We start from the raw sequence: 23,235 nt of genomic DNA, 5'->3' as shown, positions 1-23,235 counted from the left end.
TTGAGGCACTCCTCATGAAGAAAGACAAGAGCAAAAAATAAGACATTAAGTAGAGAATAATATCAGATAATTCCAGCATATCTGGCAAATCACATTATTCTGGCAACATTAAAACAGAGAAAACAAATAGGAGACTGAGGCAAAAGTTCAAATAAGAGATACAATAGGTCCTAAACCCAGATAATACATTTGTGAAAAGGAAGAGACTTGTTTCCTGAATTGAAATGCTATTAATTACTTTCTCTAGCCTAGAGGACATTATTCTGGCACCTTAATATTAAGATAGCGCATTTCTACCTTCAAAACTTTAATCAATATGTTGCATAACCCTCATTAAATACTAAATTACATGTGAATTACTACTGCAGAATGTCTCCAGAAAGAGAATGGTGAATTATTCTTGTTAACTTGGCTGTATATTTGTACTTGTTTTTAGATCATAGGGAGGCATAGGTATCAATTTACATTAATTCTTCACATAAATGTAAAACTTATGGAAAAGCAGCAGGGTAAATACACCATTAAATTTATCAACACAGTTACACAAGCAATCAATTTTGACCTATCTTTACCTTTTTATCAAACTTTGTTTCAAGAATCAGACACTTTATGACTTTTTTATCATTCCAAGGTCAAATTAAAAATAGTCTGCCTAATGTATTGATCAGTACTTTCAATTTTAAAAAAAATTACATCTGAATTTGGTAACTTCATAAAACAGAATAAAATATAGTTTGATAGACTACTGGGAGAAATATATGCAGGTATCATTCAGATGACATCAGGAGATAAAATAGACAATAATGCTTGCATTTTGTGTAACTTTATGAAGTATTCTCATTTCATGCATCACTGAAGTCTGTAATGATAGTGATGCACAGTAACTAATAGATAAATCCATGCTTCCCTAATGTTACCACTCTTCCCCTACTCCACCACCAAACGCCCAATTTATAAATGCTTGGAAAGTTTTTGCACTATGAAATGTAAAGTAAATTAGGTAGTTGTTAGTGAGAGTGCTACAGCCCTATTATTTGCAAAGGATCTTTCCTTCTAAAAAATCCAGTTTTTTATTTCTGAAATTGGATCTTGTAAATTTATGAATAACAAATATGTGAATTTTCATGTTCAAAATTTCATGTTTCATTGGTCTCGATAATTTCAGATACCTTCCTCAGCATATGTTAGAAATGGAAATAATATTTACTAACATGTAAACAATTTATTTAAATAACTGATCAAAATATAATCAATAATATCATAGGTGCTTAAGCTTTTTAGTCATTTTTAAGTTGTTGAAACCGTTCTTCAAAGTCAGGTCTGGTCCAAAGTGATTTTTTTTTCTTGAAATATATTTTGAATGTTAAAAATCCACAATTTACTGGATAACAAAACTTAATAATAAGATGATCTCCACTAAATAATACTCTTATCTTCCTAACAAATGTCATTATCTACAGTGCCAGGCATTCAATAAATATGAAAAATAAGCTTTAGTAAGGGCACTACCATAGTTTCTTGCCTTTATTTCTCCGACAGTGTCTTTAGACCACACCTAGATTTTACCTTTTGAGAAAATATTGCCTTTAGAAATGTAAAACTACATTTGATAGCTTTTTCTCTTTAATAATTATGTGATCAAAGAAATTTGCTTATTTATAAATATCAAGCATCTGAGTTTCATAGGAAAATATATCAACTTCATATAGAACTTTGTAATTTTCTCTATTCAAAATATTCACCTATTAAGTGTTTACTTATAAATATATACCAGGTTAGCTCCAAAAAGAACTTAAGGAAACTAAAAATTGATTAACTATAGAAATTATTAAACTAGATAAAATGTTCCAAAATAAAATTTTAAGTAAATAGAGGACTCTAATATAAAGTGCTATTCAAATTTTTAGAAATGAGAAAAAAGGTTTTCATCATAGTTCAGTTTCATATTTCCAGATGATCCCATTGCGTTTCACATTTCTTTAAAATCAAAGATTTAGGAATGTTGAAGTTGTTTACATACTCTGTATTTGTATGAGTATTAATGAAAAATGAGTAAGAGTAGACATTATCTGAATGTAATCCTTACAAGTTCAATATTGATGGCCCTCTTACACCTTAGCAGCTATAAATGAAACATGTAGAGCGCTACATTGAAGCCCAAATTATCTATTTCATATTTTGAAAAATATGAAGTATATGAGACATAGGGGGAAAAATGGTTCCAACAAACATATAATATCAGAAGTGGTCCCTCTTTTATAGAAAAACAGACTGACACAAAATAAACGACACATATTTAAGGCACACAATTTGGAAAATTGGCATGCCTAATGAAACCATCATCACAATCAAGATAATAAACATAGTAATCACCCACAAGTTTCCCTGTGACTTTGTACAACTTTCTTCCTGCCCTTCCTCAACTGTTCCCAGGCAAACTAATGGCTGTCTCTGTAGTTAAGTTTACATTTGCTAGAAAACTAGAATCATATGGTATATACTCTTTATTGTCTGGCTTCTATTAATCAATATGATAATTTTGAGATTCATTCATGTTGTTTACATACTATAGTTTATTCCTTTCATATAGCTGGGTGGCATTACACTGTATATACCACAATTTGTTTATCCATTCATCTGCTGACAGATACTGGATTATTTCCACATTTGGGCTATTACAAATATATCTGCTATGACCATTCATGTACAAGTCTTTGTGTGGATATGTGCTTTTATTTCTTGTAGATACATATTTAAGGAGTAGAATGCCTAGTGTGAATGGTAGGTATATGCTCAATGGTTGAAGAAACTGTCAAAACATTTCCCAAAATGTTTGACCATTTTATATTCCCAGAGTATGAAAATTCCAGTTGCTCCACATCATAGCCAACAGTTGGTATGGTCAGGCTTTTAAATTTTAGCTATTTTAATAAATATTCAGGAGTATCTCCATGTGGTTTAGCCTGCATTTCCCTAAGTGACGATGATTACAAGCACCTTTTCATTTGCATTTACCATCTTCATGTCTTTTTTTTTTTTTAGTTTTTAGAGATACTCTCACTCTGCCACCCAGGCTAGAATGCAGTGGCATGATTATAGCTCGCTGCAGCCTTAAACCCCTGGGCTCAAGCAATCCTCCTGCCTCAGCCTCCTGAGTAATTGAAACCACACCACCACACCCAGCTTCATAACTTCTTTGGTGAAGTGCCTATCTCAGTCATTGTCTATGTAAAACATCGGGTTATTTTCTTCTGTCTTGAAATGCGTTTATATATTCTGAATACAAGATCTTTATTAGATGTATGATTGGCAAATATTTTCTCACAGTCTGTGATTTGTCTTTTAATTATCTTACTGGTACCTTTCCAATACTATACTTTAATTGGTCTTTGAAAATCCAATTTATATCAATTTTTACTTTTGGAGATTATTCATTTGGTGTCGCATACACAAAATCTACCCCAAACATACAAAGATCTTTGTCTTATCTTCCAGAATTTTTTTTTTTTTTTAGTTTTAAGTTTTACATTTAGGTCTATCTATGATCCACTTTGAGTTTATTTTTGTAGATGGTGTGAAGTATGCATCAGGGTTTTTGTTTTTGCATGTGTGTTCCAGCACAGTGTTTTGGAAAGTTCATCCTTTTTCTGGAAAGGATTACCTTTCACGTTTTAGGTTTTGAATTAGCTTTACACGTTTGTCAAAATCAGTTGACTATAAATGTGTGGGTGTATTTCTGAACTTTATTGTGCTACACTGATCTATGTGACGTTTATGCACTTTTGCATTATCTTAATAGCTTTGTAACAAGTCTAGAAATTACAGTGCTGTAATTTCTAGACCTCTACTATGCTGTTTTATTTTCCCAAAGTTGCTTTGGTTATTCTAGGTCCTTTATATATTTCCAAATTTTAGTAGCAGCTTAACAAGTTCTACCAAAAAAACCTACTAAAATTCTTATTGGGATTTTGCCGAATCTACAGATCAATGTGGGGGAAACTGATGCTGAACAATATTGAGCCTTCTAATCCGTGAACATGGTATCTCTCAAGTTTACTTTCTCAGCACTGTTTCGTAGAATTCAGTGTACAGGTCTTGCATATATTTTATCAAATTTACACTTAATGATCTCATATTTTTATGCTACTATATTTTTAGTTCCATTTTCTGATTGTTGCAAGTATATAGAAATGCAATTGAGTTCTGTAGATAGACGTATCCTGTAACGTTATTAAACTTATTAGATATTTTCATGTATTCCATTGGATTTTCTATAGTCAGAGTGGAGGCTGTTTAAAAACTTATTCCTTTGTAATCTGGATGTTGTTTCTTTTTCTTGCGAATTGCCTCGGCTAGAAATTCTAATAGAATGTTTAATAGAAGAGAACATCATATACACTTGCTTTGCCTCTGATCTTAGGGAAAAAAACATTCAGTTTTTCAGTATTAAGTTTAATGTTAGCTGCTGGGGGTTTTTGATGTCCTTTTCGTTCTCTTTTATTCCTACTTTGCTGAGTTTTTATCAAGAATGAATGTTGGGTTTTATCAAATGCTCTTTCTGCATCTATTGAGGTGATCACATAATTTTCCTGTTAGTCCGTTTAATATGGCGAATTACAATTGATTTTTAATGTTAGCCCAAATTTGCATTCTTGAGATAAACCTCACTTGGTCATATGTGTTCTCTTTTACCCATCACTGGATTCAAACTGCTAAAAAAATCTCGTTTAGAACGTTTACATCTGTCTTCATGGCAAATATTGTCTAGTTTTCTTGTCATGATGCTGCCTTATTTTGGCATGAGGGTAATGTTGGTCTCAAACATTGAGCTGGAAATTATCCCCTCCTATTTCCTGGAAGCTTTTGTAAAATATTGGGATATTGTCTTCTTTTAATCTTTGAAAGAATTCATCAGTGTAGCCATTTAGGTTTGGCATCTTATCAGAAATGTCTACAGAAATTGTGGTGTTGTCAATTCTCTCATCCCCGATGTTGGTAATTTTGTCTCTTTTTCTCATTAGTCTAGCTAAAGGTTTATCATTTTTCTTGATCTTAAGGAAACAGAGGCGAAGCAGGGTGGCTCATACATACAATACCAGCACTTTGGGAGGTTGAGGTGGGAGCATCACTTGAGGCCAGGTTCAAGACCAGCCTGGGCAACATAGTGAAACGCTGCCTCTACAAAAATAAAAAAAAAAAAAGTTTTTAATTGCACCGATTTCCTCAACTGATTTTTTATCTCTTTATTCTCTTTTTATTTTGAAGTTCATCTGCTATTATTTTTCTAACTTCTTAAGGTGGATGCTACGCTGGGCGTAGTGTCACATGCCTATAGTCCCAGCTTCTTGGGAGGCTGAGGTGGGAGGATCACTTGAACCCAGGAGTTCAAGGCTAAAGTTAGCTATTATATAATCACTTCAACCTAGGCAACAGAGTGAAATTCCTGTCTCCTTAACAGAAAAAAAAAAAGGTGGAAGCTGACAACTCTGACTTGAGATCTTTCCTTTTTTAATATATACATTTAATGCTATAAATTCCCCTGTAAGTACTGCTCTAGCTGATTCCTACAAATTTTGATATTTTGTTTTCATTTGCATTCTGTTCAGTATAAAGTGGGTTTCTTGTATTCAAAACAGGTGGATTAAAAAAAGCAAGACTCAACTGATTTTAAAAAAGGATAACCGACAATTTACATTTAATTGATACAGCTATTTAAATCTACTATCTTAGTGTTTATTTTCTATCTGTCCCATTGACTCTTTGTTCTTCTTTCAGATTTTTTTTTATGACTTCATTTTATCACCTTTACTGGCTTACTAGCTGTTTATTCACTGATTTTCTTTTTGTGGTTGCTTTAGGTCTTATAATACACATTCTTATCAGTTTACTCTCAGGGAATGTTATACTGCTTCATGGTCAGTATAAGAACTTTAGAGCAGTATACTTTCATTTCCATCATCCCAATCTTGATATTGTCATATATTTCACTTTACATATGTTAACCGCACAACACCCTATTATTATTACTATTTTGCTTTAATCTATTGTCTTTTAAATAAATTTAAAATAGAAAAATAATTTTTATATTTACTCACATATTTACCACTTTTGGTGTTCTTCATTCCTTTGTATAGCTGCAGATTTCTATTTGGTATAATTTCCTTCTAAAGGCATTTTTTTAAATCATTTCCTGTGGTGCGAGCCTGCTTGTGATAAACTCTTTTAGCTTTTCTAAGTCTGAAAAAGTTATTTCATTTTTGCTTTTGAAAAATATTTTCGCTAGGTATAGAATTCTAAATTGAACTTTTCTTTCAGTACTTTAAAGATGTTGCTCCAGTGTCTGACATTCTTCTCTCTGTCCTTCTATGTGTTTTTTCTCTAGCTACTTAAAACAAATTCTCCCTTGTTGCTGGCTTTAAGGAATTTGATAATGATGTGCCTTGGCATAGTTTTCTTTTTATTTCTTGTGTTTGAGGTTCATTGAGTTTCTTAGGTCTCATTTGTTTCTCTCAAGGATCAATATCTGACAACTGTTTCACATATTTTCTTTTTTAATTTCAGGTGGGAAGGTAAATCTCTCATATCATTTTGGCCAACAATGAAATTTCAATTTCATGTTTCCTATTTTTTGCATATAACATTTTATTTTTTATACTTACTTAGCTTTTAAATTCCATGACAAAAATGTTTCATCTGTACACATAATTACTAAAATTATTTCATCCCACCTCTTTTAATATACATTATGTGTATTTATTTTTTTAAAAAAGCAACAGGAAAATATTAATAGATTTAAATACACCATGTAGGCAAAACACACTAATATTTATGTCTTCTAAACCTGTTAGTGATATACAAGGAAACTTGTTACAAGTCATAATGCTTTCATAATCTGTCAGGAAAAGATCACATTAACATCCCTATATGCTTCAGTACAAATGTATGCTATAAACCACACTGGGTAAAAGTAATATTCCTGTTTTTATTTTTGGAAGTAATTATTAGTAAGTTTATGCTTATTAAATATATCCTTAAAAATTTCCATCACTTCAGAAACCCATAAAGTTAGTGAGCTAAAGGTTTGTTTTTTGTTTTTTTTTTTTTAATTTTAGTAAATACTTTCATCTCAGAAGTCAAAATGGGGCAGAAGAGCTATACAAAGGTACACAGTTTAAATCTTTGGGACAAGAGACAAGAAGGTAACCAAGTCAGTAGCCCCCCCAAGCTTCACTTAACCTAAAATTGTAGATCATAGTAGGTAGATGTATACATCTATCTATTGCCAAAGAGGTATAACTTATTTTGACAACCTTTCTAAATAATTTTATGGTAAGGCCAATAATATAAAAATATTATACACAGTACAGAAAGAATTAAAGTTAATGATAAAGACCACAAAATAAAATAATCCAAGCTTCTTATTTGGAAAAAGAAAATAGAAATAATACTATAATATTTAGTACCTAATATGAAATCTCCACTCATTATAAGTTGTCATGTTGATTGAAATTTTGCAGTACAACGTTGCATGTTACTAATGAGAAAATCACCAGATAGCTCTTGTCGAGTCCTATGAACCTTAAACATTTTTTATAGGTAAAGATATCTTAAAAATACCACCCAGGAATAAAGATTTGTCAGAAGTACAATATAGTAACATAAATGCAAAAGATATCATGTAATTTGTGCAATTCAAAATTCCAAAAATTGTCTTATCAAATGTACAATAAATAATAGTCATACTTGACTTCATCAAGTTAACAAAATAATTACTAGCCAACCCTATGTTTTATTAGTCAATGGCTTAGAAACACCAATTGCCATTTTAAAATTACTTTCTCCATAAAAATAGAAGGCATATCAAACTCTTTAAATCTCAACTAGCCCCAAAAATTTGAAAGGCAATTTGTCAATCAAAAATATATGTTAAAAAAGATGACTAAAAAACAAACATAACCAATTTTTATGCACAATTTTCTTCTCTTATGAAAAAGGGCACTTAGTGGATGGCTAAAGCTTTCAAAAAATAAAGATCCTGTTGACTTTCCTATTGGGTAGATGACATACTGTACAATTTTTAATATAAAAATATACATATTTTTAAGATGAAACAGTTGTTGGTATAAAATCCCATCATCCTTTTACTCTTACTTGAAAAACATTTTTTCCCTGGAGGCCATGAAAACAATACTGATTCTATGTAGTTCTGTGTTGCCAGAAACTTCCCAAATTACAGAACATTAAGGTATTCACTGAAATTTCAAAAGTGGGCCCGTAATCTTTTGTTTTCTTCTCGTAGTCTTTCAATTTCAGCCACTAAACCTTCATTCACTGAGTATCTTTCCAGCAAAGAATGCATTTCATTCTAGAAAAACAGGAAAATGCTTTTTAAATTATTGATATTTCACATTTATTTGGCAGGCTATGTTTAATATACTTTCAGCTATCATTTCTCTCATGTTCAATTAACTAGGTGAATGATATTTCTTGTACTTAACAACTTACTAGTTTGTTAATATAAATGGAAGATCGTTGGTGAAATTAGTATATTTGGAAAATTTATATTTGCACATTTAAAATGCTTTTTGCTTACTTATCAGGAAGAAAGCCATGGAAAAAAGAAGGCTTAAGTATCTCAGAGGTTAAAAAGGAGGTGACCAGTTAAAATCTATTTTACTTATTTAGTCTATAAAACTCCCTATTTATCTTAGAAACTAAACAAAACAACTAAAATATATTACCTTTCATGGATTTTTAAAAATTCACACAACTCTACTTTCATTTAAAATATTAAAATAAAATTTGCCATACATACCAGTTGCATATGAAACTGTTTAATCATCTCCACTTGCAAATTCACAATGTCCCTATGGCATGCTTCTCTAGGAAGAATGTAAAATACTTTTTAGAATTACAATAGTTTAACCAATTCTAGGTCATTCAAGAAACTCACTAAACTTTTTCATTTGCCAAATTACTGAATGTTAATAATTACTATAATAATAAAAATACCAATGCACTGAGCATTTATTCACTATGTGCTAGGCACTGTTTCCTTTACTTTAAATGTAAGAACTCGTTTAAAATATCTTCACAAGTAGATGCAATTATTACAGGTCCATTTTACAAAAGAAATAACTTAACCAGAGTAGATATAACTTGTTCAAAGTCACACAACCAGTAAATGATGGAGCTAGGATGTAAACCCAGGCTGTTTAACCCCTGAACTCTCCGATACTATATTCCTTTATATAGAAATTGTCATTAAGACACAAACTTATCTTACAATGAAATACAGAAAATTCACTAGGTTAGAAAGATCATTTTATTATTATCAGTTTAGCTATTGAAAAAATGTACTTTCAGTATAAAGTGGCAATTTGGGTGGATATAGCATGGCTTACTCAATAAAATACAATTAATTCATGCCTACAAAAGAATATGTAAAAATTATTAAGTATAATAACAAAAGAAACACTCAGTCACCCACCACACAACTTATGAACTAGAACATTACCAAATAATAGAAGCTTCCTGTGTGTTCCTGTCTGATTCTATCACTTAACTCTTGGGAAAAAGCCCAAGAAAGAAGTCATTACTCTCCTGAATTTTGTTGGACAAAGAAATGCTTTTGCTTTTTTAATACATTTGTATAACATATAATCTGTAGTCAATGTTTTCATTGTGCATGTTTTTGAGCATTACAAAAAAGGGTACCATATAGCTTATATTTAAGAAATAATTCAATATTGTTTTGAAGATTCATGTTTTATATATCTGTATATCATTAGTTTGTACTGGTGTATCTATTTTCCTGTTAATATTTTGACTGTTTTCAAGTTTTTACTATTCCAACGTTGTTATAAACAATCATGTATTATCTCCAAACCCACATGTGCCAATGTCCATTGATGATATAACCAACTGTAACTCAAGTGTATACTTTTACAAAATCATGCAAATTGTTTTCCAAAGGTAGTTATCAATGGATGTCACCAGTATAACAGAGTTCTTCTTGCTCTATATCATCAAGACTTAGTATTACCAGATTTTTTATATTTTCCCATTTACTCGGTGTGACACGGTATCTCATTGCATTTTTAGTTCTCTGATTAATTGTGAAGTTGAATATCTTTCCTGTGTTCATATACCATTCCTCTTCCTTGAAATGCTTTTTCATATCTTTTTCTTATTCATTTATAAGCATTCTTTACATAATCTGATCCTTTGTTATTTATATGAGAACTGCAGGTATCTTCTTATCCCTTCACTCTGTGATATTGTGTGATAAATAGTTCTTATTAATGTGCTCAAATATACTAATAATGCAGTCAAATTTACCAATGTATTTTTATAGGCAGTGCATTATTTTATTTTTAATGATTTCCTACCATGAAGTTATAAACTTTTATAAAGTCAACTTTTAATCTACATGGAACTGATTTTTCTCAATTGCATGGAATCTATACTTATTTTTTACAGGAAAAAACAAATGTCACAACACAACTTACTGATTATTCCATTTTTTGCACATAAATCTGCAATGCTACCTCTCTATTATTTCCATATATGCATAGGTTTCTTTCCAGCTTATTTCATTCCTTTGGCCAGTATGTCATCCCTGTGCCATGCTATATATCTTAATTATACTTTAATAATTAAGTGTATTCATCTGACAAATAAGTCCCCTTCAACCTTATTCTTCTCTGAAATGTCTTAGTTATTCTTAGATTTTTTTCCTTCCATACATATTTTGGAATCACTTCATCATCTTCTTCCAAATCCCAGCTGGGATTTTAATTGGAATTGCATTCAATCTACTGACCTATTTAGGTGAACTAATATCTTTATAATCTCTCCATTTATTTAAATGTTAATGCTTTTAAACAAAAAAAATTTTTAATGTTTTTCTACAAAAATCTTCACTACCTTTGGTAGATTTATTCCCAAGTAACTTATTGTTTTTCTGTTCTAACTATGAGGGTATTTTTAAAAATTTCCTCTTCTACTTTCAATTATAGTAAAAACTGTATTGAAAACAAACAAAAACACTGTATCAGGGAACCATTGAGGTAGCCAGGACTTGAAGGGCCATGATCTTGCAAACGAAAGACTACTAGGTAAGCTCTTCATTTACCTCTGTTTTTCCTTCTAGAGTATGTGCTGATTCCACAGTGTGGAGAAGAAACCGAGCTGAAGCAGTGGCCTGGAGGTTGAGATAGTCTCGCTGGGTGGGGGAGTATTAAGAGTTTGGGCCTACCAAGGTAGCCAAGGCTGTAAGAGCCAAGGTCTTGAAGAGAGGAGGCCTGCAGAAAACTAAGCCTGAAACTGTGGAATTTCCCCTCAAGACATCTGTTGACTTCTAAGCAATGCTCCCCCTGGGTTAGATGGCAGGAAACCAACCAAAAAACAAGTAACTAAAGAGCAGAGAAAGTATTCTGGAAGTCTTGTGATGCTGGCAAAATAGAGGCTGAAGTTTGGGACCCACCAAGGTAAAAAAGACAGTGAATACTCCAGACATTCAGCTGATGTCCTAGAAAAGACTACACACTAGGAATAAAGGCAAACTGGAAACAAACTAGTGCTAAGAAAACCTGAACCTAGTAACCAAAGGATCAAAGGGATCTGCTTGCCAAAAGAAACTTAAATCTTCTTAATAGACAACAGAAACAGATGCACAGATTTCCACTTAGGATGTATTAGGTTGGTGCAAAAGTATAATTTCTCAACTCTAATAACGAAAACAAACCTGATAACCTATAAAATCATATTATTTTAAATTCAACCGAGAGCTGAGAATGGAAAGAAATCTAAATGAACTAAAATCCAGAAAATGAGGAGTTCCTCTTAGGAGAAAAGAGACCCATGACTAGGAGAAAAGAGACCCATCTTCATGCCCTTGACAGAGTAAAAAGAACTAGCTGAAATTTTAATAAGATTTTTAAAAGCCAAGTAAACACTGCTTGATAGTTTAGAATTCCAAGGGGTCCCAGCCACAAGGAGAGTCTCAATTTACTCACCAACTTTTTCCCACAAGCCTTCATTCAGCGCTCATGTAAAAAAAGTAGGGACAAGTGTAACAGGAGGGCTGAGGGAGACTCCCTAAGATACAGATGCACAGAGCCTGGTGAAACCTTAGGGCAGCAGAGAAGAACTGAGAGTAACCCCTCTAAGGCACTCCAGGCTCTCATGGAGAAGATGGCAGCCACGGGAGGATGGCTGAGAAAGAGGTCCTCAATACCCTCTCTGTCCTGCCAATGATAGGTGTAGATGAACACCTAGTCTGATGAACACCTAGGCAAATGGCAAAACAAGTGAATTTATGGAAATCCTCTGAGCCACTCTGGGTCTTCACTGCGTCCCAGGCAGAGGCTGCCTATGGTCAAAGGGCAGAAGAGCTGAGAGAAGTCCCTACCCACCACTCCTAGGTGCAGACATGCAGCACAGGGCAGCAAAACCAAGAGGCACTGACTGTACGTCTTCACCAAACGTGCTGCAGCAGCTCTGCAGGGCTGAAAGTGGGACAGACACACTTCTCCTGAGGCACAGAAAGCCAGGAACAGGTTAGATAGTGAAAAACAAGCTCCAGCCACCCCGAAAGCTGGCAGCAGGGCAGAAATGCACAGCGATTTCAGAGTTGCTCCAGCACTCAGATCCCTGGGTCTGCTGAAGGAAAGGCCCTGAGCCCACTGTCCTCAAATCATCTGAAGCCAGTGGTGAACTGACACCCAAATGCTTGTTGAATAAATGGGTAATAAATAGACAGCACCCATTACTCCTGTGCTTAAAAACTCTGATGGCTCTCCATTACCTGTGTGTTAAGACCTTCACAACTGTCCCTCAGGCCTGGTCTCTTACCACGGTGCCTTCTCTCTGCAAACATTCCTAGAATGTATGATCATGTCTCTGCTCAAGCTGTTCCCACACACATCAGTATAAAATAAAATCTCTTCAGTGTACCTTTCTAAATCTGCCCCCACAGAAGAACTGCTCCCTTTCTGTGATTTCAACATCACTTTGCTCACACTGTATTATAGTCAGCTGTATCCAGACAGTTCTACTATTATGCCATAAATATTTATGCACTCCTGAAAAAAACGTATATTCTTTAACACTGTGTATTAAAAATAACAGAACTTAGGGAAAAAGGATTAGGGCAAAGCACTCAAAAACCTATGCAACTTTGTAACCAGAGCACAACAAAAACAATTAAATCCTAATAAAAATACTAACATAGTTAAAAAGACATAGTAAAAATCTAATAGATAATTATTGAATAATACCCTTACTGTGAAGAAGTGATGGTCACTTAATGGAAGAGGATAGAAGGATTGCGGCTATCAAGTTACAGAGGCAAGAGCAAAATGCCCAAAGATGGGAAATAATCACAAAATAAGTACTTCTAACAGACCACACAGCCAAGCCAAGAGGAAGTGAATAAAAAGAGATGGATGCTGACGGGGTTTGCTGCATTCAGCTGTGTTCAGGTGTACTTTATTTTGGCTGCTATTACACGAACAAACAAAATTTCCTCATCATATTGTCAACAGTGTTCTATTCTACTGATCCCAAATGAATTAATTCACATTAAGAGAAACACACATGGCAGAACACACTGCACCTAGCCCAACTACATCACAAGGCCTTTGTGGCAGATCATTTGATGTATCCTTAGTATCTGGTACATATACTAGGTAGGGTAAATGCCAAAATTACAATTTTTCTTTAAAAAGTATTTTTCGACATTTAAAAATATATTTTAAAAGTATTTTAAAACATTAAAAGGAAGCATGCACCAACAAAAACTGCACATTTTCTCCAACATTCTTGCTTACGGTAATCCAAATCTGAGCTACAACATTAACTATAGGTTAGAAAGGAAAAAAGGCACCAATGATTTTAATAATTGAAGATAGCTTCCAAAAATATTGAGATGATAAAAGAAAGCAGCATTGTAGAACACATTCTTAGAATGTTCACAATTCGAAGGATGAGACAGACAAGGATAAGTCTGAGAAAGAATTTTTTTTAGATTAAGTATTACATTCTGATGCATTCTATTGGAAAACATTCAGAATTGTGCTTTAAAGTATCTTTTTCTACTACATTATTGCACACAGCATACCTAATAGATCTATGAACATACTGCAGGTTAAGAACCCAATTTAAGCTTACCAGAACTTGTCCACATTTTAATAATAAAAAAAGTTCACAATGGCAGTCTACCTGCTAGACTGCCCTGCTGAGTTACCTAATAATTGCCCTAGGTAAATGTGCCTTTTCCTGGCTCATAATCAATAAATGCAGTACGAAAAGATCAACAAAACTCATTATGTTTTCTATGGCTTTAGGATTACCAGAACCTAGACAATAGTAACCAACAACATTATCTATAGTTCTGGTTTTACATCTAAAAAAAAAACAAGTAAGGTCTAGATAGAAGGAGTAGTTTCTCAATTACTACCTAAAGTCATCCAACGTTTCCTGTATCATGTTCTGAATAAAACGAATTTGAATGGAAGTCAATGGTGCATTTTGCCGGTTATTTCCAATGCTGTCGGCTATTTTTTCTGAGAGTGAACTGGCAACTCCAGCAGTGACAGAAGATGCTATCTTTGGATCTAAAATAAAGAATGAAGAAAATATTAATAGTCAACTTGGACTGAGAGACATCAAACATTTCTAAATAAGATTTGGCATGTGCAAACTTGAAAAACTGGCAAAGAAGAGTGTTCCTGTGACATTTAGAAAAATTCACTGTCTGGAATACAAATCTTAGAAACTTTCTATAACATTATTTCTAATAGTCATTTATCTATATATATAAACTGCCAGCTGTCTAATGTAATACCACATGACAGAGGGATTAATCTTGAAGAATCTATGAACCATTTCCTCTTATAAAAGATGAATGTGACAAGCTGCACCATAAACTAGATAAACCAAGACTATTAAAAACAAACCGAAGGAAAATAGGAGTAAAGTACTGCTACAGGAAAAGCCTTAGAGTTTAAGCTAATGCAATATATATCCACAGAAAACTTCAAGCAAAATATAGATATTTATATGAGAGTTGATTGTAAACAAAGAGTTGCTTTGTGTAGATAACTCTTAGAGTTAAACCAAATATTCCTTTAAATGTGATGAAGTTTGTATGGGTCTGCAGCACAAACTCTAAGGATAAGACTTTAATATGAAAGAGAAAAAGACATTTTCAGGTAGTTAACCAACCCTTTTCAAAGGGTCCTACATAATAATTCTATCTCTACCATATTAAAGACACATATTACACTGAAAATCTAATTCACACCAAAAGATCAAATCAACGTACCTGAATTTAACGATTCATATCCATTTCATTGTCTTTAGTAACACTCACACAACAGAAGTGTCCACAAACTTTAAACTCTTTGAACATTTTTAGTCTATGATTACTCTATTTCTCCTTTACAAGTTAAATAATGGGGATGATTTTTCAATCAAACACTTTCAAACATCAGGAAGTTTCATGTACTTACTTGGAGTTGAGGATCCATTGATTGGGGGTTCACATATCAACTGGGCTTCAATTTCATTCTCTGGCTTTTCAAATTTCTCAGAATTTCTTGTTTGGTTAGATGATGGAGAGGTATTTAGATTTCCACTTTCAGCACCAGATGTGACCAACTTTGCTAACTTTATATTTAAAATAAATAATGACTTTAATATACAATTTTTTTACTCATATTACCCATATAATTTTTGCCTACTTCTCTCTTTTGTCCCAGTATGTAGGTTAATAGAAATGAAGGAAAATAGGAAGAGATATAGAAGAAGAAAAAGAAAAAGAGAACTGGAGGCAAAATAAAGTAACACTTACTAATCAAAAACAATCTCAACAATAACATGAGGAAAAGCTCATTTACTAAGCACCTGCTGTTAAGTATCATTTAAAATAGAGATAACTGGCAAAACAAAAACAAAAACACCATGCATGTGGTAACCAGTCAATAATATTTGCAAAATAAATCAAAAGATGTTTTTGTACTTCTTACATGGTATCTTTTCAATATCATTCTAAACAATAAATACGAAAATACAGACATATTGTATACCCAACTGGCTTGGCCTTCCTGGTAATTTTTGATCATTTTGAACCCTTACATAAAAAATTAAATTCTGTATTATATATATATATTTTAGCAGAAAGTAACAATGATAAATTCCATTCTCAGCACCATCAGTTTGCTCTAATGATTTAACCACCAACTTGATGTTGTATACTGCAATGAAATACACTTTAAAAGGATTCAGGGATAAACTGTTCTTGCACACTTTATCAAGATATATCAAGTATCTCATCTTAGAAAAATACTGCAACTTTCCATCTGCTGTAACCTTCAACATATCCAAAGCGAGATTTCAAAGTATTCTGTAGTTATTAAAATCTGACATCAAGACTTATGAATAAGTGCATAGCAATGCTAATAATTAGGATACATGCACTGGCAGCCACCCACTTTCTACTGATAAACACATACAGTGAGTTCAGTATCATTTTCAGGCAAATACCTGTTTGAAGGAGTCTTTAGATTCCTGTTTTCCCATATATATTTTCTTAGACTCAGCTGTTAGATCACGGTTTTCATTTTCCTCTTTCCCTGGAGATCCCATAAAAACATTAAGAGGACTAGAATGCAATACTGAAGTACTTGAAGTTACTGGATTTTTTCTTGGAGGAAACACTGAGTTCAACTGCGGTAGAAAGTCAAAGCCTGGAAAAGGGAAAAACTGCATGTGCATATGGTGTCCTCCAATTTTGGACATTGAAGAAAAGCATTTAACATGATAGGCAGATTAACATGGAAGAAGATATGGATCTGCATTCTGAAGACTGGTTTGTTTCTCAGATACACCCCGCAATTGATGTGTATTTTTGGGCAAAAGTCTTAAACTTTCTGTGACTATTTCCCGATCTACAAATGTAAATGATGATATCCATCTCCCAGAGTGGTAAGGCTTCAAAGATATTATTTGTGAAAATACTTTGAAAACAGCAAAACACAATGTTTTAGTCAGTATTAGTTCTTGATAACTGAAAATTGTTAATTTGGTATATATCTGTGGTATGTATCTTGGAAGGCAATTTCTGAGATGGCTTCTAATGACCCCTGCCTTTGGCGTCGCTATCCTTGGGTAATCTCCTCCCTTTGAACGTGGCTTGGACCTAGTAACTTGCTTCTAACAAAAGTAATATGAAAAAGTAGTGAGATGTCACTACCAAGATTAAGGTTATTAACATAATCTTAAGAGAGGGCTTCCATTTTGGATGCCCTCTCGAATTCTCTTGTTCACCGGCTCTGAGGTAAACCAGCTGCCATGTTGTTGGCTGCCCCATATATAAAGAAGCTCATTGGCATGGAACTGATATCTCCAGCCAACAGCCATAGGAATGAGCTTGGAAACAGTTCCCTGCCCAGTTGAGTCTTAAGTTGAATGAAGCTCTGGTTGACATCCTGATTGAAGCAGGAAGATAGACTTGAAGGCAAAGGTACTCAGCCAAGTCATGCTCAGTTCTTAATACACAGAAATTATGAGACGATAAATGTTTATTTTTTTAAGCCTCAAAGTGTTGGAGAGATTTGTTACACAGCATAGATAATACAATTCACTTTTCATTTTCACGAAAATACTTCTAAGTAGTTCTTACCATCTCCTTTGCCTATGGACTCATCACTTCCCTTGTTAACTACAGCATCTATAACAAATTAGAAAATCAAATTTTAAAACTAGTGAAAAAGAAACCATATCAATTTAGGCTTCTTATTCATTCCCCAAAGAGTTCAGAGACTAACAATCTTAAAAAGCTAAATATGAGTGATGTTAAAGGTAGGAGAATACTGATTTAAATTTCTCTTTTACATTATTTTAGCTTCATTCACACTTTAGCAGCAAATATGAACAGATAATTCTATAGTACAGTCATTTAATGAGGCAGCAAGGTATAGTGTAACAAGCCCTGGTGTAGGGGGTAGGTTATGGAGAGCTATAATCCAGTTCTGCCTATACCACTTAATAGCTTTGTGACCTTGGACAAGTCTCAGATGCAATTAAGTTTCAGTTTCTGCATCTATAAAATGGGGATAATGTCCAGATAAGCTCACAAAATTGCTTTGAGGATCAATTGAAATAATACAAAAATATTTTGCAAAGCAGAACAAAGTTTTATTAGTGTTTATTTCCATGGTAGAATATGTATAAGATTATTTTAATCCTGTAATATTCATTTGCCAGTCCATAACAAAAATTGTAAAATTCAAATTTAACAGGTGAATTAAAAATGAGCCAAAGTCATTAACGAATTTACTAGAAATTCAAATGGCCAATAAACACACAACTATATCAGGAGAAATATCATCTATGTGCATGTGTGTATATGTTCCCAGTAATTGCACAGCATGTACATGCACACTTTTAGAAGTTATTAGCTTCCTTATCAATACTTTGGAACCATAATGAATCTGGAGGGCGTATGACTCAAATGCTAGTAACATTTTTAAACATAGCAAAAGTAATTAAAGAAAAAAGTAATTTATTCATTTGTCTTAAAAACTATTAAAGAGAATTTAATTTATAACTCAAACACTTCCAAAAAGCCCCTTTGTACATTCTTCAATGCAAAAGTTCCTCCAGAGGAGTCTCACTGGCCAAAACTCGCAATTCAGCACTAATCCCAGAAACCTTTCTCAACTCCAGCACTAGTCACTTTTCTCTCCACCTACATCCGTCCCTCTGTTTACCCTTTACAATGTAGTTTGATGTAGTTCGACTTCTCTTCATCCTGAAAGAAAAGAATCCTTCCTCTTTCAGTTTGACTTAGCAATTTAAATAGAAATTTGCAGGCCAGGGTAAGGCAGAAGATACTCAATAATTCTGTACCACCACGTATGTATTTATTCCTTCTGACTATAAAATTGTAGAACATTTGGAAAAGAGACAATTTTAAAGTAAAAAATGAAATTGTATAAGATAATGAGTGGATGAAACAACTTCGAGATCCTGCTGTTGACATGGTACACTTATAATAATAAATACACAAATCTTTGTGGGCTTCTCTGAGTATTTTCTGAGATAAATTTGTAGAAATGTAAATACAAGGCCAAAAAGTATGAATATATTAACTCTGTCAAATTACCCTCTAGAAATGTATCCATGTTATTAATATTGCTGTTAGCAATGAGGTAACTCCATTCCACTAAGAAAAACATTATGGATGTTAGTACCAAAAAGACACACCTAAACAATGTACTTAGTTCAGACACTATGAAGAATAACAAATAATGCTTCTATTTATCAAGCTGGCAAATTTGCTTTTTATTATGCCAACTTTTTTATGGGGTGGTGGGAGGTGTACACCTATACACACACAATTTTTTAAATTAGGAAGACTTTTTTGCATACCAAAACATCTAAAATTTTAGGAACATTAATTTAGAAGTAGATACAAGGGACAGATTGCCTATGAAGGTAAAAACTTCCTTCAAGAAACTTTTGTGGAAATTAAAATGCTAACTTGAGAGCTATTTGCATAATTCCCATGTGAAAATTACCAGCATATATTTTACAATGATAACATTTGAAATATCAGGGCAAAGAAAAAGATACCACCCCAGGGATGGAGAAAATTAGCAAACTGATCCGTGAATAGAGTTGGACTGAAGCTATTATTCACATCTTTTAGCCAGAATAAAAATATTAACTACCAGCAAGAGAACAGGATCCTCTGAACAGACTTACCATCTCTGATAGGTGAGAACATGTCACCTAAACTACTTTTCCCAGTATCATCAAAGCTGGAGAAATCCTGATTTTTTCCACTGTCTGTTTCCTTAGATAAAGTGTCTGTGTTTATGCTTCGAGGCAAACCTTATAGGAATTAGATATAAAAATCAATGTTATTACATCTAAATAAATTTTATCATAAGCTAGGTTGTAAAAATTAATGTATCACTCATATTGTTGGTAATATTACAACTATGAGCATAAGGAGAATAAAACAGAATATGACAAGAGCTAAAGTTAATCAGGATTTTCATGGAACAATAAAACAGAATATGACAAGAGCTAAAGTTAACCAGGATTTTCATGGAACAAAAGGTTCCTCAAAAGAAAACAGCTTATTTGTTCATACAGTAATACCTTATTTTAGCCATTTTGTTGGAATTTTTCTAAAATAATTTATATACTTTGCTGCTCTCTTAAAGTACACTGAACACAACTTACTTTTGCTATTGACTGACTCATGATCATCTACAAATGTGATTTTTTTTTAGTCTGTAAGGCATATAGAGCGATGCCTAACATACAGCAGGATTCAATTAATGTTACTTTTCTTCCCTGACTTGCAGTGAAGGGGTTTTCTGTCTTTTCTTTCACTAACAGTGGGAGCTTAACATTGCCCTCAGCATTACAGATCTCAAATGACTTCACTAACCTCCATAGTTTCAAAGAGGAAGCAAACCAGAACACCAAACTCATAAAGAATAGTAAGGTAGACAACAATAAAGAGACGGCAGCAGTTTATTTTTTCTGGCAGTGTATAAACACATGGCTTTAGAGTAGGGACCTTTTAAGAGGAGCTCAGCAGGCTCAGAAGCTTCTGTTTCATTACTGGAGTAACGACAGTTTTAGAGGTTCAAAAATTTTGATTAAAGTCTGCCATCAGGATTGGTAGCACATTACTGTATTACATTTTAAAAAGTGCTTTATTTGGCATCTCAGGCCCAAATGAAAAACTGAAAAGTCTGAGATGAAAACAAAGAACAGCCTGCATATCCAAAAATGCCCAAGACTGGCGAATAAAATAAACTTTTCTAATAACACCTGCTATAAAGTTAAAATATTACCAAATCATTTGTACTATTGTTGAAGAGTGTCTATAGCAAGAGTTCAGTTGTTACAAAGAAGAAATTTCCTCTCCTTTTTTCTAGGTCCTTAACATGTTTGAATGCATAACTCAGCCTCTGAAACTTTAGGAAACAGAAGTTTGGTATCATTTGAAAACAGCGCTAAAGTCTTATTCTTTTCTTCTTAAATGGTGATTTCCTTCTAAAACTAAGTACCAATAACAAGTTTAGAGAAGTTCTTTGAAATAACTGAATCAGGACAACTTCAATAGAAGCAACAGAATTTTTTTCTGAACTTTAATTTTATACAAAGCTTAAAATAATAATAGTGATGATCATGATGACCACAATGATAGTATCAACACCATAGTGTACTGAGTGCCTACCATGTGCCAGGTACTTCCAATACATTTTATCTGATTTTCACAATAACCCTAACAGTTAAATGTCATCTTAAATGTGTACAGGAAAAAAATGAGACCCAGAAAGGTTAAGAGAATTGCCTAAAAGCATCCTGGCCGGAAGTGACAGATCTGAGACTGAGTCTACTATTCTCAATGTTTCAGAGGCAAAGAAAAATGTGTGTGTGTGTGAGAGAGAGAGAGAGAATGAGAGACAGAGAGAGGAAGAGAAAGAGAATGATGAAGCAAATGTGGCAAAATTTATAAAGTGCATCTGCCAAAGGGTAATGCTCAGGAGTTATCTGTACTATTCTTAAAACTTTTCTGTAAGATGACAATCATTTCAAAATACAATTAATACACAAACATTGTTAATTTTGTGGGGGCAGAGCACTCACTTTGCCAGAAATGTTGGGAATCTACCAAGAGTTATCGTTAATCCATGACCCTGAAAGATCCAAGCCTTTGATTTGCAAATTAATGCTGTCTTTGTTAAACAAGAGCCTTCTTACTATAAAACTAAATGAATAATGGAGAGACTTCAGAGAGTTTACAGTGAATGAGAGAATCTTTATTTTGTTTAATTTTTGAAAATTTTGAAAAAAGATAATTTTCATAATATAGTTAATTCAACATGTTGGCAGACATTACTCAAAGTTATATTTCAAAAATAATTTCTTCCTTAAGTAGATATCAGTTGTCTTTGTCTCCAGGAGTTCCTAAATAAGAACTTAATTATTTTCCTAATATATAATGGCTCTTATATAAGGATGATACAGATATTCACAGGAAATTTATAGTGAATATACTTACTTTAAAATACTACTCCACACTATCAAGATCAACAAATTAAAGTTTTGCTTCTACTTGGAAATAGCAAAATCATGCTAAAAAAAAACACCAATAAATATTTTTGCCCAAGTATTTATCCTGAAAAATTTAAAAGACATGGATATATGTATTTCTACTAAGCACAATATTTCAGAAACATACTAGTATACCATGTAGACTTTCTAAAGTATTTGTTGCACGTTGACAGTATAGCATAACTTCTTAAAATAAAAATGAAAAGGTTTTCAGGAATTTACAGAATATTTTTTTATTGTGAGCAAGAAATATTTTCTACAATAAGAGAAAGCTTATCATATAACACATCAATAAAGTCTAAATGAATCCTGTTTCAGAACTGTTTCGCCAATTACATGAGAGAAGAAGAAATCATTAGAAATTGCAACATTCTCATTTATTTTTATTTAATGAGATCAAATCATAAGACAGTGTCAAAGTTTCATATTTTCTACTGGTTAATCTGAAGACACAATGAAAAGCCATTCAGTCTTTAGTAGTATTAAGGATGAATAATTTCTGAGTTAGCCTCCTTCCATTTTTAAGACAATATTTCTCACAAGAGAAGTTTAGCTAAACAATAAGGGCCTTTTATCATTTTTGAAATTAATAGCCAAAGTTACTATTTTCACTTCTTCAATGATTTTCACTTCTACTAATTTTACCTAAGTACTCAAATAAATTTGAGTTCTATGTTCTTGAAGAATGTGCTAATTATATGCAAGCCAAAAACAAAAAAACAAAAAAAAAACAAACCAACCCTCCAACAATATATAAGCAACATTTACCTGCTTTTTCTTGAACAGCAACTGTTCCTTTCCCCATAGCTGATGTCATAGGTTGTGGTAGAACTGTGGCAATGGACGTGGCAGGTGCTTCTCTGACAATTCCGGAATTCTGAACTCCTCCACTAGCAGCATTCACATTAACACTTCGTTTGTTCACTGTTGTGGGCTTATTTGAACAGCCTTTATTTAAACTTGACTGAAATGTAATGGAATATTTAAAAGCTCAGGTTACTAATGTTTCATACTATACATTAATATTTTATAAATTCCCTGTTAGATTAAAAAATATATTTTTTTCCTTGCAAATCTTAAGCT

General features: G+C 33.0%; 1 protein-coding gene across 10 annotated transcripts in view; it reads right to left on the bottom strand.

The window, feature by feature from the left end:
* Positions 1-6,533: 6,533 nt before the first annotated feature.
* Positions 6,534-23,235, bottom strand: part of NEDD1 (NEDD1 gamma-tubulin ring complex targeting factor) — a 46,524-nt gene continuing 29,822 nt past the window's right edge. For all 10 annotated transcript variants that reach the window (NM_152905.4, NM_001135177.2, XM_005268644.3 and 7 more), the window contains 8 exons: positions 22,921-23,116; positions 19,777-19,905; positions 17,690-17,737; positions 16,552-16,754; positions 15,519-15,675; positions 14,465-14,621; positions 8,816-8,882; positions 6,534-8,365 (listed from right to left, as the gene is read on the bottom strand). In NM_152905.4, the coding sequence (NP_690869.1) occupies positions 8,261-8,365; positions 8,816-8,882; positions 14,465-14,621; positions 15,519-15,675; positions 16,552-16,754; positions 17,690-17,737; positions 19,777-19,905; positions 22,921-23,116 (1,062 nt within the window). In that variant the 3' untranslated portion in view covers positions 6,534-8,260. The remainder of the gene's footprint in view (positions 8,366-8,815; positions 8,883-14,464; positions 14,622-15,518; positions 15,676-16,551; positions 16,755-17,689; positions 17,738-19,776; positions 19,906-22,920; positions 23,117-23,235) is intronic.

The sequence above is a fragment of the Homo sapiens genome, chromosome 12 (assembly GCF_000001405.40).
Source record: "Homo sapiens chromosome 12, GRCh38.p14 Primary Assembly".
Classification (NCBI taxonomy): Eukaryota; Metazoa; Chordata; class Mammalia; order Primates; family Hominidae; genus Homo; species Homo sapiens.
The sequence above is the reverse complement of the archived record's forward strand: the minus strand, read 5'-3'. Positions and strand labels throughout refer to the sequence as shown.